Genomic DNA, 18,450 nt, shown 5'->3' with positions numbered 1-18,450 from the left:
CGGATCACGAGGTCAGATCGAGACCATCCTGGCTAACACAGTGAAACCCTGTCTACTAAAAATAAAAAAAAATTAGCGGGGCGTGGTGGCGGGCACCTGTAGTCCCAGCTACTCAGGAGGCTGAGGCAGGAGAATCGCTTGAACCCAGGAGGTGGAGGTTTCAGTGAGCTGAGATCATGCCATTGCACTCCAGCTTGGGCAACAGAGCGAGACTCTGTCTCAAAAATAAATAAATAAATAAATAAACAAGCAAACCATAAGCCCGGAAGTCATCCTTGATTCTGTCTTCATTCTTATGCTACATCTAGTCAGTCTTGAAATTCTGTCAGTTGTTTTTGTTTGGAGCTTTCTGGACTCTCTTTTCTTCTTTGTTGTTTTAGGTACTGATCATTTTATCCTGGACTATTAAACTAGCTTCTTAATTAATCTCCAGTCTTCCGTTATTATTAATACCTCTCTTTAGTTCAAAAATTTCCACACCATCTTCTGCTGAGCTGTCAGGGTTCTTCAGTTGTGGGGGCTAAACGGTGATCATTGCCTGTACAGGGCTCCAGGCCTTCCAGTGTTTCAACCAGAAGTGATTTGCTTTTTGCTTTCTTTCGTCTCGGGTTACTATGTAACATTGCATTTGAAAGCACATGAAAAGTGATTACTTAGGTGAATAAAACCTGGAGAACCCTTGTTCTAGTGAATCGTCATTCTGCAAATGATTGGCTAGGGTGATATTTCTAAAATAAATCTGATAATTTCATTCACCTGCTTAAAACCCTTCAAAGCCTCACTGTTGCCTTAGGAGAAGGTTTGAAATTTGTAGCATATGCATAGTCTAGCTTAATTCCCCAAACTCATCTTCTGACATTTTTTGCATGACGCTTAATTTTGTTTCCAAATTTCTTTCAGCCCTTCAAGCCGCTTTTCTATTACATAACCCCTTTTCATTGCCTTGACTGTGGCCTGCTTTCCTTCCTCCACGTTCTTCCCTGTACCATTCCTCTCCTGTCTACCAATCCTTTAAAGCCCTGCTCAGGTATTCTTACTCCTGTGAAACCTGTGTGGGTCATACTGAGATAAAATTAACTACTCCCTTCTCTGTAATATTTCTCTGCCGCCATGCTTATTCCTGTAGTTTGCACATGGTATACTGAACTGGAACCATGGGCATATGTATCTGTCTTAGACTTAACAAGCAGTGAACTCCTTGGGTATTAGGCCCACTATTTTCCTCTTCTCGTCTCATCTCTTCTCTCTTGACAAGGTCTAGGCTGGAGTGCAGTGGTGCGATCTTGAATCACTGCAGGCTCAACCTCCCAGGCTTAAGTGATCCTCCCATCTCAGCCTCCTGAGTAGCTGGGACTATAGTTGTGTGCCACCACACCTGGCTAATTTTGTTTATTTCTGGTAGAGATGAGGACTTACTATGTTGCCCCAGCTGGTCTCAAACTCCTGGGCTCAAGGGATTCTCCTGCCTCAGCCACCCAAAGTGCTAGGGTTACAGGCATGAGCCACTGTGCCCAGCCCCACTATTTCTTTTGTCTTTGTATTCTAGAGGTAGTCCTTAGCCAATTATGGGCCTCAATCAATGTTTACTGAAGTAAATGGAACCAAAATTGGCAGTAGGTGCTGCTAGGCTTCGGTAATTCTTAGGAATTCATAATGTTTAGGATGTATACATTGAGTTCTCTGGTGCCCCCAGAGCCAGCCCAACTCTAGATTAATGCTTGAGATATAGACACAGGTTGATAGGAGAATAATTGCTCTACTTCATATGTGCCTTTCCCCATCAGATATCAGGTAGCTTGAGGGACTGCTTTCAGAAGTGTGAAAAGGTTTGCAGTTTGGCACAATGCAAAACTATTTTATTGACATATAATTCATATACCACAACATTTACCAATGTACAGTGTACAATTTGATTGTTTGCAGTATGTTTAAAAAATTTATGCAGCGAGTACCATTATCTAATTTGAGAACATTTCCATCACTCTCCAGAAAGAAAACTTGTACCCATTAGTATTCACTTCCCACACCCTTGCACCCTCTCTCAGTCCTTGGAAACCTCTAATCTAGTTTCTATCTATATAGACTTGCCTTTTCTGAACATTTCTTATCAATGTAGTCATGCCACATGTGGTCTTTTGTGACTGGCTTCTTTCACTTTATATAATGTTTTCAAGGTTCATCCATGTTTTAGCGTTTATCACTACTTTATTGCTTTTTATTGCTGAATAATATTACATGTATGGATATATAACTTTTTATTTTTTCATTCATCAGTTGATGGACATTTGGGTTGTTGCTACTTTTTGGCTATCATGCTGTGAACACATATTCTATAAATATAGGTAAAAGTTTTTATGTGATATGTTTTTATTTATCTTGCATATATAACTAAAGGTGGAATTGCTTAGTAATTACAGAATTGGCAACTCTGTTTAATCGCCAAACTGTTTTCCAAAGTGACTGCACTCTTTTACATTCTCCACAGAATTGTCTGAAAGCTCCAGTTTCTCCATATCCTTGTTAACACTTGTTATTGTCTTTTAATTGTAGCCATTCTAATGGATTTGAAATAGTATCTTGTAGTTTTGCATTTTTATAATGATTAATGATACTGGACATCATTTCATGTCTTTGCCTATTTATTTACTTACTTATTTACTTACTTCATTGGGATCTTGCTCTGTTGCCCAGGCTGGAGTGCAGTGGCACCATCAAAGCTCACTGCATCCTTGAACTCTTGGGCTCAAATGATCCTCCCACATCAGCCTACTGTGAGTAGCTGGGACTACAGGTATGTGCCACCATGCCCAGCTAATTTTTAAATTTTTTGTAGAGACAGGGTCTTGCTATTTTCCCTAGGCTGGTCTTGAACTCTTGGCTTCAAGCAATTCTCCTGCCTTGGCCTCCCAAGGTGCTGGTATTCTAGATGTGATGCACCTGACCTTTATTTGTATTTTTGTTGCTGAATTTTAAGATTATTTATGCTGGATACAAATCCCTTGTGTATGACTTCCATTCTGTTGGCTCTCTTTTCACTTTTTCGGTAGTGTCACATTTGGAACACCAAAATTCTTAATTTTCATAAAGTTGAACCTCAATTTTTTTCTTTTATCACTTGTGCTTTTGACATTATATCTAGGAAATAAGTGCTTTAACTCCAGTGAAATTTCTTTTGCCTATTTCCTTGACATTTGTGTTTTTCAACACCAAGGTAGCCATGGAATAATTGTAACTTAATTAAGGGCCTGCAAACTTCTATAGTCGCAGGATCAGATTCATAAAACCAGATCCATAAGTCAGATAGGCCATAATTGTGTGTGTGCTTGGGGATTGGAGTGAGGTTGGTGATTATGTGCCCTGCTAGTCTTGAAGAGATATTTGCAAGAATCTGTTAATCTGGTGAATAAACACTTTTAAAATGTAGATTCAAATGTTGTATAAACAGACTTTGCACTTTTTGCTAAATGTTTAAAGAACGCCATCTAAATTAACTATGTGCTGAAATCTTGGACTACAGTTTAAACTTTATGTAATAAGAAATTTACAAAGGGAGAGTAGTTGGATAAAATTTATCAGTATAAGTTGATAACTGGGAGACTCATAACATCCAGACTTACCTTATGTCTGCTACGTGAGTTTTTCAAAATGTTAACAATAGTCATCTTTCTTATTTGTTTCATATTTTGGAATATAGGTTGTTTGTGATAATTTTTGGTACATTTCTCTTTTCTTCCTTTCAGTGCCAGTTAAAGGAATTACTAATTGTCTATTCTTGCTGGAAAGTACTGATTTCCATTTGAATATAACAGTCTTTTTGCTAAAACTTTCCTATGGTTGATTCGAGCAAATACAGAAGCCTTCTGTTTGTGGACTGAATGTTCAGCCAGCTGTGACGTAGTCACTATTATCAATGAAGCTTATTCATCACTTTCCATGCTGGTGCATTGTACGGGACTAGCAGAGGATCTTGGAGACTGAATGGAGAGCTTCTCCTTGCTTACCTCCATACACTGGTGGTATTAAGTGATTCTGTTCTCTATCTTTTCCAGACCTTGTGGATAATTAGATCTTTTTGTTTTCCATTGATTCCCAATAGTGTCTTGCAGATGGTAGGCACTGATTGAGAATTTGTTCATTTTCTAAATTAAAAAAATGGTAGTTAATGCTCTTAGGAGATAATTTTATGTTCTGTTCTCTTATACGTGAGCATTTATCTTATATCCATTGTCATTTTACAAAGGCAGAGGCTAATAATGTTTTTATGAAAGAAAATTAAGTGGCAGTTGATGATTTTATGTTAAAAGCTTATTACTCTTTAGGGAAATTAAACTTTTTAATATTTAATTTTGTATACTTGTTGAATATTTAGATTAAATTCACAGGTTAATTGTGGTATTTCACTTGAATAGATGCAGCTGTGGAGTACAAAAAGGCTTATTTATCCCAGTTCATGACTAGAATACAGTAGATGTTGTTATAAAACTAAGCCTGTTACATACTTTGGTAAAATCATGTGCCCTGAAATATAGTAGGCACTTATGAGAGCCTCATAAGACACGGTCAGACCACCATAACATAGATATTGGGCCTGCCCACAACAATAGTGTTATGATAAGTGGTGTTCCCTGTATGTGTTATGGTTAGTGGGGATACAGAATATCTGTGATGGAACAATAATTGAATTGTTTCTGACTCCGTCTAATTTTCTGTTGCATTTTAAAAAATACTCCCAGAAGAATGGTGTATGTTTGCCCAGTGCTTCCACTCTGGTCCTTTCTAAGTGAGTTTTATGGGCTCCCTAAGCCTGTGACCTGTATTTTTAGGAGATGCAATTCTCTGGATCTCTGTGGAATTTATATTGGATTTGAGAGGGCTGTGCATTCCTTAGAGACTAGGTAATTCCAGAGGAGCTGGTTGATTCAACGGATTTCATTCAAGGGACTTGTATTTTCCTTGGGAACATTTCAGGAAATATTCATTTCTTCCAATCAAGGAACTCTCCCTTCCTACCTACACATATATACATACCCTTGCCCTTTAGAGATTCCCTGAACCCACAGGATTTCTCTGGGTTGAAAAAATGAGTCTTGGTTTGAAATCTATTGAAATACTTCAGGTTTCTGTTGTCCAGAACTAACTTCTAGGTGGAGACCCTCAAGTTGCCCAGGGGTTAGAAACAGTGAAAGGGACTATATTGTTTCCCTTTGGATTTTCCATAGTGTCTACAATACTGCTCTGTACATAAAATGTGGAAAATAAATGTGTTGGCTATAACTCTTTATCCATTTTTCTTCTCCATTTATATATATGTGAATCTATGTAAGATTATTAAAACCCAAGATTTTTCTAGAATTTTGTATTTCATTCCCAGGTCTATCTCCTATCTCTCAGTTAACTTACTTAGCATCTTTATGTTTACTGATCTCCCCTTCATAACATCAGGACACTTAATTGAATTGAGTGAACAGAATCTAATTACAGATTCTGACCCATCTTAAGTAAGGCACATTATGCATCCATACTTTCAAAACATTTCTCTAAGCCATTCTTTCTTGCCTGTTTTCCTTGATATAATGCAGGTTCTCTTCACTTCACATCTAGGTTATTTCAGTATGTTCACAACTGGTCTGTATCCCTCCCTCTATTCTCTCTCCCTTTCAAATCTGTCTACCACACTGCTGTCAGAACAATGAAAACATAAATATATCCTTCTTTTGCTTATAAAACTCTTCAGTGGTTCCCTATTGCATTTTGGGGGAGAGTCCAAAGCCTGAACTGTAAAATCATGCCAGTCTCTGTGAATCTCTTTGTAACCTAACTTTCTGCACTTTTACTGTTTATTACTGTGCCTCAAAGTTTATTTTTATAAAAATACCATCCACTAGTATGACCCCGAGCCTTTGCAGATGCTCTTCCTCTGCCTGATACTTCTCCTTAATATGTCTGGAAAACCCCTGCTTATCCTTTGCTGCTAAAAAGTTATCTCCCCTTTAGAGCCTCTCTTAAATCCGAAAGGCCATTTCTTTTCATCTGTGTTTGTATAGTATAGTATAGAAAATAGTACTTCTGTTATGTCACTCTATTCATTGCTCCTTAAACTATTTTTGGGCTGATGATTTTGTAAAATGTAATAAAAATGAAATACTAGAAAAATGAAGTGTAAAAAACATAAGATAGCCTCATTTAAAAAATTGTTAGCTTCAACAGACCTAAAATTACTATTAAAATGCTATAAAGGGGCTGGGTGTGGTGGCTCATGCCTGTAATCTCAGCAGTTTGGGAGGCCGAGGCGGGCAGATCACGAGGTCAGGAGTTCGAGACCATCCTGGCTAACATGGTGAAACCCCGTGTCTTCTACTAAAAATACAAAAATTAGCTGGGCGTGGTGGTGGGCGCCTGTAGTCCCAGCTACTCAGGAGCCTGAGGCAGGAGAATGGCGTGAACCCGCGAGGCGGAGGTTGCAGTGAGCTGAGATTGCGCCACTGCACTCCAGCCTGGGTGACAGAGCGAGACTCAGTCTCAAAAAAAAAAAAATGCTATAAAGGTTTTCTATATATTTACTCTTAACGTGTGTATTTAGCCATCTTCTTGTGGATCAACAACCAACAATTCACAGGTCTGCACTGGTCCAGGGCCACATTTTGGGTAGCATTGCTTTGTAACATTTATCAAACAATTTTACAGTCCTTTGCTTGTGTATTTGCTCTTGCTTTCCTCACTAGACAAGGGTTGTGTCTGATTGATCTTGTGTTTTGTCTTCCCATCTTTTGTTCCCTCCTCTCAAAATCTTAGTTAAAATAGTTCATGACACAGGGTTAATCAGTAAATGTTTGTTGAATGAATTAAGGGTAGCATTGGTCTTATTACCCTATAATCACAACTGGCCTGCATTTCTTTGGGTAGGGTTTTCTTTTAGTTTATATGGGACTTAGAACTTCATGATGTCATAGTGAAAGTCTACTGGAGAAAGAGCTTTCTAACTCAGTCTGAAGTAGAGATATTAATGTTGTAACGTGCTTCAGTTTTGCTGATCTCTGAGAAACCTCACAGTTCAGGAAGGAGACATTTCCATATTATTAGCACAAGTGATAAAACAGTTCTTTGCTGTAGGAGAGGAGAATAGAACTCGTAGTGCCATTGAAGCAAGTTTTTTTTTAAGCAAATAGTTGCTTTGAGTTACAAATGCAATGCTTTTTTAAGCTTTTTGTTTTTACTGACAAACCACATGCAGATGCCATTCTGTCCTCCAAGTTTCCCACCCCGAGGACAGCCAGCTGCCATGCACTTCCCCCATCCTCATTCACAGATCATTAATCAAAGATCGTTAATCAATATGTCTTTAGAATCTGCAGTTTTGAAAGTCATATTCCCAGCTTCGGAAGGCTGCAACTTGCCCAATTTCCTGTGATTTTGGAAAAGTGTTCTGCTATGGTGGAAAGCGCTGGAAACCTGAGTTCCAGCCTAGGTTTTGCAACTAACTGTATGACTCTGGGCAGGTCATACTCCCTTTTTAACATGTGTCCTCATTTGAATTCCAGACTGAATTATCTCTAGGGTAGCTTTTTAACTCTTCCTTTTAGTCCTCACAGGGGTTAATTGACATTTGCTTGCTTTGCTTGTGGTCTTTTAACCCTGGCTAGTGATCTTCATACACTATCATGTACATACTGTGCCAGCAATTAGGATATTATATTGACATTCTCTTTGCTTTTTTTCCTCCTACAGTATACTGTACTTTCCTCAAAGATACCTTATTCATCTTTGTATTAGCTGCTCTTGGCCCAGTGTCTTAATTCATGCCCTATTAACGTTGGTTGACTTGAGCTGAACTCTGTCCCTTGCTTTTGCTTCAGACCTTTGTTTAGCAGTCTGCCTATCAGGTGAGAAAACTTGGATTGGTTGCATATTGATATCCAATTAATATATTACAGAACTGTTTAAGGTTGTAAAAGTAATAAAGCCCAGTTGGAGTAATGGTGATCAGTCATATGCATGTGTAAAACAGATGAAAGTTGTGGTTATTCATTCATTGTTCTCCTTAGGAAGGTCTTATTGATTATTAGCTTGTTGAAGGATCTGAGTTGGTATTCGTCTGTCTGTGCCTTCTTGGCTTCTGGCTGCAGGAAAAAAATATGTGAATTTTCTGCCCACAGACTGTCCAGCCCTGCCAAGGCAGCCTGCCAAATCTCAAGTCACATGCCTAGTGAATTGCTGCTACATTTTTTCTTCCTTGTCTTTTTCAAGGCTGCTGATGTTGGGCTCTTTGCCTGGTGTCCCTGAATCGTAGCCCTTTTAACTCTCTGAGTGATGAGCTCCAAACATTGTTTAGCAGCAGAAGCAATTTTTATTGGTACTAGATTACCTCCACTGACTAGGCCAGGCTTGTTTTTATGGCTCCACACTACTAGGCAGGACTTCTAGAAGTGTCAGGCTTTGGACTTGGTTTAGTCCTTACTCCTGAGCTTGAAGCCCTGATTCATACCACCTCATAGTTCTCAATGTCCACCATTTGTTCCCAGTGTCCCTAAACCTAGAATATATGTGGGTGTCGTGTGAGAGGCAGTTTGTCCTCACCCATTTCCTGGAGGAGAGGTGTTCTCATCCTCTGGGATGAACACAAGAAATAACCCTCACACTTATCTGGCCTCACTTTTCTAGTTAGGCATTCTATTTTGCATTCCATTCGCAGAGCTGAGCCTTGTACCTCTTTATAGTATCTTTCAAATACCAAAATGTGGAAGCACCATTAGGAAGGTTAGTACTTCCAGTTGTATTTGTAAGGATGGTGATGGATTTAACCTGAGCTTCCACACGTTTTCCTGGTCCATGTGTTTGTGAGATAGGTTGCAAGGGTTTAGTGGACAGATGTCTAGATAAATGAATCTAATTAGTGCCTAACCTTATGGAACTGCTAACCATAACTCTCCTTTACCGCTGTGTTCTAAGCAACAGCCATGGTCTTAGAGTGACCTCATTACCCAGAGTCACATATTCTGCTGAGGGATGTGGAGAAAAGAGGAAGTTGTGAGACTGGAGGAGAACTTAGAAAATTTTCTTTTATTTATTCTTTGTATTGCCTTTTCTTTTTGCTCAATTTCTGTGTTCTTCTCTTTCTTACCTGAGAAGCACTAGTGTATACATGTAAAACCTATATTTCAATATGAACCCATCCTTTCCAGCTAGAAAATCCTGGAAGGGTTTACTATCCCCTCTAAGCTGTAGTTTCCTTCTCTGTGAAAACAGACTATAGCCACTGCTTAACATGCATGGCTATATTACATATTAAATAACATGGTGAAAGTATGTACTTGGCACCATGCACTGCTGACCTGGAGAACACTTTAGTAAAAGCTCCTTTCCATTTTCCTGTTAAATTGAGCATACAAATTATTATTTACTATAAATTCCCCACTTGTGCCTATATTAGAAACTAACAGAAAATGTTACAGATAGTATAAAGCAGAAATTGAGGCACTTAATGAATAAAATTCAGTTCAGTTCAATGAACATTTATTGCATACCAGGCACTGTGAGTGGAGAAGGCAGCTTCTTTTAGAAATTTACAGTCTAATGAGGAAAACAGATGAGTGAATAGACATTTAAATGGGGTGCGATGGGTGCTTTAGAGGCATGACTGGTTCCTCTGCACGTAAGGTAGAGGGCACTTGCTCTCATTCAGCGGGAGAGGAGTGAGGGGTGGCACAAAGTCAGGGAGGTAAAGCAATGGATTTTTGAACTGTGGCTCCTTGAAGAGAGGGCGCACATTCCAGGCAGAGGGAAGTACATGAGGGAAGATAAAGTATGAAGTTGCCTAACAAGTGTAACTGCAAATTGTTCAGGCTTGCTTAATTGCAGTTTGTGACATGGCAAGTGGCAGGAGGGGAAGCTGTTAATGGCCAGCCCATGGAAGTCCTTTTTGTCGTGCTGAGAAACTTGACTTATATCCTATAAAGAATGGGGGCCATTCATTTCAAGGCTCTATACTGAGGTTGTGACAAGATCAAATTTGCATTTTTTAAGAATCACTCTGGTGCTGGTGCTCAGGAAGACAAGGGAGAAGGAGGAATAGACATATCAAGAAGCTGGTGCCAGGGGTTCAGAGGAGAGATGATAAGGGGCTAAACTGAAAGAGCAAATGGCAGAGGGATAAAGAGGAGGAGACTAATTGAGGAGACCAATTTAGGAGGTAAAATGAGTGATAGTTTCATTGTAAAGGATGAAAAAGTGTCAAGGGTGACTCTTAGGTTCTTTTGTTGGGTATATGTAATTGGAATGGCAAATAAAGATCAGATTTGGGGAAAAAGATGATCAATTCAGTTTCAGACAAATTGAATTTGTTCTGCTTGTGGGATGTTATCCAAGGGGAGGGAAGACCGGCAGCCAGTTTGATAGGTAGGTCTGGGGCTTCACAGAGGTCAAGGCCAGAAACACAGCTTTTGAACATTAGTCTTCACTGATGACAGTGACGTTAGAAACAACAAGTAGAATGATCCCCTTGTCTTTGCATTGTGACAGAGACAGAAATTTAGAATATGTCACAAATGAAGCTGTCGTTAAAAATATCCAGTAGATTCCCCCCTTCCCTCCTACCTCAGTTCTCTCATTAATGGAGATAGAATATTGTTATCTCCCTTTTCTCTTTCAATTCCCATAGTGCCTTTTGATTTGAGATATAGCTTTGAAATTAAACAAGATTGAATTTTGAAGGGTTTTAAATTTTAATGTGATACTTTACATAACTCCAAGCTGCATTTTAATGTGGCTCAGCATATATTCTGATGCCTCTGGGAGTGCTTTAAAGTAATTTATTATTATTATTATTTCATTATTAGATCTCAGACAGAAGTTTAGAGAAAATTATTAGAAAAAGTCCGGATGTATTCCTTAGGCTGTGGAAGGGATAAATGTAAATGCCTTGGTGGCAATGGCTTCTTATCTTCTCACATGACTCATCCTGCCTTTTCTTTCCTGGAAGGGCTCTGTGGTTTTAGATCAGAATCAAGGTGTCACTGAGTGGCAGCTTTCAGTCAGTTTTTGCAGCACTGCATTTTTGGGATAATCTTCTACACCTTCACCTTGCTCCCTTACCTTTCCCTCCTCTTGTCTCAGCGTGGAGGGTACACTTCATTTTATTTCAGGAGATCTTAGGAAATCATATTCTTGGATGTTCTTGATTTATTCCTTTACTTTCTATACATATTTTTCCTTAATTATCTTCTTGTCAATATTGAGATTTATGGTAACCTGTCTCTTCCTACCCTCTTTCATTTGAATTTACATGGAAAATCAGCCATTCTGTTCTGGCTCCCTTGAAATTATGGGTTTGTCTGTCTTCCTCCTTCCCTTCTTTCTATTTTTTTCTATCCATTAAGGTAAAACATCCCAGATCCAATCACTATACCCTACTCCCAATTCATATGTATCTTTTAAACCTCTTTAATGTTCTGGCTACATGACCAGCAGTTCTTTTCTTAGATACATTTTGTATTGACTGGGAGGTTCATGATCTCATATAGTTCATTTCATTTTCAGCAACATTAATTGTTGAAGGGCCTTCCTTACATAACATGGAGATATCATGATACATTAACCAATGTGCTTTGTGTCCCTGTTATTTTCTGCAACCTTCTGACGGCTTTGCTTTTTCTGGTTATAAGGGGAGGGGAAGGATACTTCAGCAGGATGTAAAAAAGAGGCAAATGTCTGTTTTTTTTTTTTTGAATTTCAGAAATTACAAAGCCTGAATCTGGCTATAAGACTGAGTTTGAAAAAACAAAAGTCAAGAAAAAAGATTTTATAGACTAGAAGAGGAAGGAGAGCTGGGTAGGGGGCTGAATGAATCTAGATAGTGGGATTGTATTTGAACCCCCTAGGAAGGTTTGATAAATTCTAGAGGAGAGTGGACTTCCCCCTACCATGACTTACCCCACCCACTGACGGAAGCTAAAAAAGCAGAAAGACCTGAGAGGAAATGTGCCAAGATTAAGTTTCTGCCTCTCAACTGGGGTCACAACTGAAATTGTTTAGACATAGAAAAAAATAAAAATAATTATATTACTTTTTTTACCCCTGTGATTTATGGAGTGGGATTTGCATCTACTATGTCTATATTGAATAACTAACAGTGAGATATAGTGGAAAATTGCTTAGGCTCTGAAGCCAGATTGATTTGGGATTAAATACTGGCTCTGTGTAATACCCTAGGCTAGTTACTTAGTCTCTCTGAGTCTGTTTTCTCATTTGTGTAACTGGAATAATAATACCCACCTCATTTGAAGTGTTTTGATGCATGGATAGGATATATGTACAATATCTAGAATGGTGCCTGGGTGATAGGAGGTACTCAGAAATACTCTGCTTACATTTTAATCTCAGTATTACGTCTTTATTTTGTGTTCTTAAGACTTATAGACTACATCTAAACCCTTCTTTCATATGACAGCTCTACACATATTTGAGGGCCAGTGTCCTTAACTGTGTCTTGTATATTTGAGAAGCCGTATGCCATAATGTATTCTGGAGCACACTTCTTAGATTTGAATCTCAGCTAGCCCACTTACACACTTAGGTAAGTTACTTAACTTATTTGAACCTCAGTTTCCTTATTTGTAAACTGGAGATGATATTAATAATACCTATCTCTTGGGTTAGTTGTGAATATCAAAGATGTTAATACAGATAAAGACCTACAGGCACATGTTAGTTAATTATACATACAGTTAATATCTTATTGTGACAGAGGCAGTGCTTACATGTTCACCTAGTCCTGTTTTGTTTTCATCTTTAGAGCCAGACTTAAGCTGTTTTTTTCTGCCTTCCTTGCAATTATGTTGGGGCTATGTGCTTATTCTAACTGGTAGACTAAAAGTAGAGGTGATATGTGTCATTTATGACTCAAAGCCCTTTGCCATGTGGATTGTGGAGGCTGCATGTTGAGATGATGGATTCACAAGGTGATACTAGACTGAATTTCTAAATCACCATTTGGAATTAGCTTCTGAATGCATATAGGACATTGTATGGGCAAGAAATAAACTTTGTGTAAAACTGCTGCGAGTTTGTCATTGTGCTGTCAAGGCATAATCTAGCCTATGTAGATTAATATGACTAATATTGGTAGATGAATACTAAATGAAACAAACTGTCGAGGGGTCATTTTTAGGAGAAGGCCTTTTCAGTGAATTAAGGTATTCATTAAGATATCCTCCTTAATGATATTAAGGAGGAGGGAGGATTTTATTGAAGAAACAGAAACAAGGTTAAAAAAGGAACATTAATTTTTCTATTTGAAATGGGTTTTATGTAAATGCATGTTTTGGTGATAAAACCCTTTGTCCTTCTTTTTATTGTCCCATATCCTATAATAGAATTTTCTTTCTTTAAAGCTTCTTAACATCTTTCTAAATGGGAAACAGTTATATTCTGGAGTGGTCATTAATAATTTTATTAGTGAATGAGTTTATCAGCTCCTTTTTTTGGGAGAAGATTTTATCAAAGGGTATGGAGGAGAAAACGTAAGAGTTCCAATTAAGTTTTTGAGGAAAGGAGGGGGCTTTAAATGCAGGCTAAGAATGAAGCACAGTGGATGTTGTATTTTCCTCTAATTTGGTATTGTGGTCTCTCTCTGGAGAGTTGCTAGAAACTCTAGCTCTGCCCTGGTGGAGATCCAAGGGAGATGGCCTTAGATGCTTACAAAGTGGCTTTACGTGATACTTCTTTATCCCGGTGGACAGTCTAACCTAAGTGTCTAACTCATGACCAGGTTTCCCTCTTACAGGGAACTTGAATATACTGGCAGGTACCTTTGTGGTTCGTGCCTGACTTGTGTCCAGTGTATGAGATAGCCACTCTCTAGGAGAGCCATGACTGGGCAGAGAGTTAGGTTTGGTTGTGTTGGTCGGGTGAGACACAGAGGAGGCATGAAATAACAAGCAGTGTATGTTATTTACAGACCCAGAAAGAAGAGGGCAGCACACCTCAGGGCCAGCAGGAGGAAGGGGAGTCATCCAGGACATGTACTCTCAACTGGCGGTTGGGAAGAAGACAGAAAGAGATAGACATGTGGGTCGAAGTCTTTACTGGGGTCCGTCGTGTTACCCAAGTAAGTTTCCCACAGGGAGTTCTAATTGGTGGGTTTAGAGGAAGCAGGCACAAGTTCTATGTAGGCATGCTGTGTCTGAGAGGAGGTCACTGTGGCATATCTGCACAGTATGTATGGGGTGTGGAGGTCAGTGGAGCAAGTCTAATAGGCTCTGTTTAGCTGTCCCACAGGGAAGTGGTCACCAGGAGGCAGTTATATAAGGGAGATGTCTGGAACAATCACATTGAGGAACAGGGAAGAGGTGAAGAACTGGAAACTGTGTCAGGGATGACTTACCCTTCCTTCTGATATGAAAGAAATTCAACTTATGTTTAAAATGAATGCCAAAAGCTGAGCACAGTGGCTGATGCCTATAATCCCAGAACTTTGGGAGGCTAAGGTGGGCAGATCACTTGAGGTCAGGAGTTTGAGCCAACATGGTGAAACCCCATCTCTACTACAAAAAATACAAAAATTAGCCAGGCATGGTGGCATGTGCCTGTAGTCCCAGCTACTTGGGAGGCTGAAGCAGGAGAATTGCTTAAACCCAGGAGGTGGAGGTTGCAGTGAACTGAGATCACGCCACTGCACTCCAGCCTGGGTGACGAGTGAGAACCTGTTTCAAAATAAAAATAAAATAAAATAAAATGGATGCCAAAGCAACATAAAATAATTATAAGAATTTGCTACAGTGGAAGATGTAGTTAGAACTCAGCTCACTCATAAACACAAGTGATCCTTGAGGTGAAACTTGGTGAGTGGCAAAGTGTTGTAAACCACTGTCCCAGATGTTACTCTGCTTCCCTCACATACCACATAAAGTGGTAAATGGGTTTGATTCCTGGGAAATGAGTTTTCAAGTATCTTTAACCACTTAACAAGAAAATGTGACTTCTTAAAATGTACTTCTTAGGTTGACTCATTGTGAAGATAAAAAAGAAATACCAGAATAAAGTGTGAGAAAAAATACAAATCAAATATTTAAAAATTTTTTGGATACATTATATTTGTACATATTAATGGAGCATACATGAAATTCGGTTACATGCATAGATGTGTAATGATTAAGTCAGGATATTTAGGGTATCCGTCATCCAAGTATTTATCATTTCTGTGTGTTGGGCACGTTTCATTTCCTCTCTACTATTTGTGTTGAAAAATACAACCATTGTTGTTAATTGCAGTCACACTACTCTGCTATCAAACATTCGAACATATTCCTTGTATCTAATGGTATGTTTGTACCCTGTAACAAACCTCTCTTTATCTCACTTCCACCCTCTACCCTTACATCCGTCCCAGTCTCTGGTATCTATTGTTCCACTCTTTACCTCCATATGATCAACTTTATTAGCTCCCATGTATGAGTGAGAACACATAATACTTTTTGTGCCTGGCTTATTTCCCTTAACATAATGACTTACAGTTCCATCTGTGTTGTGACAAATGACATGATTTCCTTTGTTTTTATGGTCAATAGATTTCCATTGTATAAATATAAAATATTTCCTTTATTCATCATCTGTTGATGTACGCTTAGGTTGATTCCATATCTTTGCTACTATGAATAGTGCTGCAGTGAATGTGAGGGTACAGGTGACCCTTTGAAAGACTGATTTCTTTTCCTTTGGATAAATACCTGGTAGTGGGATTGCTGGATTGTATGGTAGTTCTGTTTGTGGTTGTTGTTGTTGTTGTTTTTTGAATGTCCATATTGTTTTCCATAGTGGCTGCACTAATTTACATTACAACCAACAGTGTGAGAGTTCCCTTTTCTCCACATCCTCACTAACATCTGCTATTTCTTGCTTTTTTTAATTAATAGACATTCCAACTGGAGTAAGATGATACTTCATTGTGGTTTTGATTTGTATTTCCCTGATGATTAGTTATGAGCATTTTCTTCTGTATACCTGTTGGCCATTTGTATGTCGTCTTTTGAAAATTTCTATGTACGTCTTTTGACTCTTTTTACATGCTATTAATATTTTACTGTTGATTGCATATTCTGGATATTAGTCCCTTGTTGGATGAATAGTTTGTAAATATTTTATTCCAATCAAGAAATTGCCTCTTCACTCCTTTGATTGTTTCTTTTGTTATGCAGAAGCTGTTAAATTTAATATAGTCCCATTTGTCTATTTTTGTTTTTGTTGCCTGTGCTTTTTAGGTCTCAGCCATAAAATCTTTGCCTACACCAATGTCCTGAAGAGTTTTCCGTAAATTTTCTTCTTGTAGTTTTACAGTTTTGGGTTTTACTTTTAAATCTTTAATCCATCTTGAGTTGATTTTTGTATATGGTGAGAGATAGTGTTCTAGTTTCATTCTTTTGCATGATTATCTAGTTTTCCAGCACCATGTATTAACGAGGTATATTGTTTTTACATTGTACCTATTTGGAGATCTCTGAACTTCTGTATCTGGATGTCTTAATCTCTTTCTAGACTTGGCAAGTTTTCATCTGTTATTTTATTAAATAGTTTTTCTAACTCATTCTCTTTTAGGTCACCAATAATTTGAATATTTGGTTGCCTTATTGTGTCCCCATATGTCATGAGGGCTTTGCTCTTATTTGTTTATTGATTTATATTGTGTTATTTTAAAAGACCTGTCTTCACGTTCTAATATTCTTTCTTTTGTTTAGTCTATCATTAAAACTTTGAATGTATTTTGTATTTCATTCCATGAATTCTTGAGAGTTTCTATTTATATCTTTTTTATTATATCTATCTCTTTGGTTAATTTCCCAGTCACATCTGAATTATTTTTCTGATTTCTTTGTATTGTTTTTCAGAGTTATCTTATAGCTCAGGGAGGTTTTCTTTTTTAACATTTTCAACATTTTGAACTCTTTTTCTGAGATTTCATGAATTTCTTTTTGATTGGGATTTATTGCTGGATAACGTGTTCCCTTGCAGGTTTCATATTTCCTTGTATTTTTATGTTTTCTGTGTCCTTACATTGGTATCTGTGCATCTGGTGTAACAGTTGCTTCTTCCAATTTTGTGATTTTGCTTTCATAGGGGAGGACTTTTTCCTGAAGATGAATATATGGTGTCGGTTGGGTAGGGCACTTTGGCTTGATTCTGGGTACATGCAATAGTGCAGTGTCTGTATGATTTCTTTGACTATAAACAGCATCAGTGGTGTCTGATTTTCTTGGCGGCTTAGGGTACAGTTGTCAGAGAAGGCTGTGGTGAAGTTGTGCTGAGATCCGGGATGCCAGTCTTCAGGCTTCAGTGGTGGCAGCAGGGAGCTGACTGTGCCTGCCCTTGGGCCCAAGGTGGCATACATTGGTACCAGTGTTAGCGGGTCCAGGCAGGCTTATTCTTTGCCTCCAGGTGGATTGTTGAGGTACCAGGCATGGATGGCGGTGGTGGGCTGTGTGGGTGGAAGAGTTCTTGAGCCCCTGGCAGTGGATGTGGCATGAGCAATGGCAGTGGCAGCAGTGAGACAATCCTCTGAAACCCAAGTGGTCTGTGCTAGTGTTGGCAGTGGCTGTGACCAGTTGGGTGGGCTGAAGACCTGCAGGTAGCATGTGAGGGGTGGGTGCCGGCTCTGGTGGTAATAGCAGGTTGAGTGGACCTGATCCTAGACACTGGGAGGAGTGCTCAGGTGCCACGGGCAGTGGACTGGATCAGGCAGTCTCCAAGCTCCTGGATGGTGTGCTCAGGTGGAAGCAGCAACATCTGTGTTGTGGACCTGCTATCAGAGAAAGCTTGGTTGCTTTCCCTGGGGGCAGCCATAGGCAGGCAGCTGGAGGGTGTGGGCTTTTCTTGCACCTCAGCCCACAGCAGTCTGTAGCTGCAGTGGTTGTGGGCAGTGGAATTTGTCCTCAGGATGCATGAGAATGCATGGCCGCCCCTCTGTTGGGCTGGGGGTGGGATTGTTGCTCTAGACTCTTGACCTGGGCCTGGTTGCAGGGCAGGACGTAGTCCATTGTGGGCTAGGCTCTTAAAATGGCACTGTGCTGCAGCTGCTTAGGACTCGGGTTTGTGGGACTCGATGTGAGCTCCCGGTCTGGAACAGTGCCTTCGTGTGGTTTCTAGGGCACACCTTATGTTACTTTCAAGGCCTCTGAGGGTCAAAGGGCTCTCCCCTGGCTAGGATTGTTGTAGTCCATGATGGGAATGTGGACCACTGGGGTCTCTCACCCGTTCTCCACACTGGGGAGTTCCAAGATGATCCCTGCTGAGCAGGCTACCTCATTTCCCTCTACTTTCTTGCTTTAGATGTTTCCTGTCACTTTGCTGAATTTCAGTGTTCTCTCTTGGATGATCTATTTGAAGTGTGATTTTTCTCCTCACTATTTTGTTTCTTCTTAGTGGAGGAGGTGAGTAGACATTAGGAGATGCCTCTAATCAGCCATC

At 39.3% G+C, this 18,450-nt stretch overlaps 1 protein-coding gene across 11 annotated transcripts in view; it reads left to right on the top strand.

Annotated features, from left to right (window-relative positions):
- Nucleotides 1-18,450, top strand: part of IGSF11 (immunoglobulin superfamily member 11) — a 245,464-nt gene that overhangs the window by 150,129 nt on the left and 76,885 nt on the right. For 2 of the 11 annotated variants that reach the window (NM_001353319.2, NM_001353318.2), the window contains exon 2: nt 13,952-14,101. The exons of the other annotated variants lie outside the window; for them this stretch is intronic. In NM_001353319.2, the coding sequence (NP_001340248.1) occupies nt 13,952-14,101 (150 nt within the window). The remainder of the gene's footprint in view (nt 1-13,951; nt 14,102-18,450) is intronic. 11 annotated transcript variants of the gene reach the window in all.

Source organism: Homo sapiens, chromosome 3 (genome assembly GCF_000001405.40).
Source record: "Homo sapiens chromosome 3, GRCh38.p14 Primary Assembly".
Taxonomy (NCBI): Eukaryota; Metazoa; Chordata; class Mammalia; order Primates; family Hominidae; genus Homo; species Homo sapiens.
This window is presented reverse-complemented; position numbering and strand designations above follow the sequence as displayed.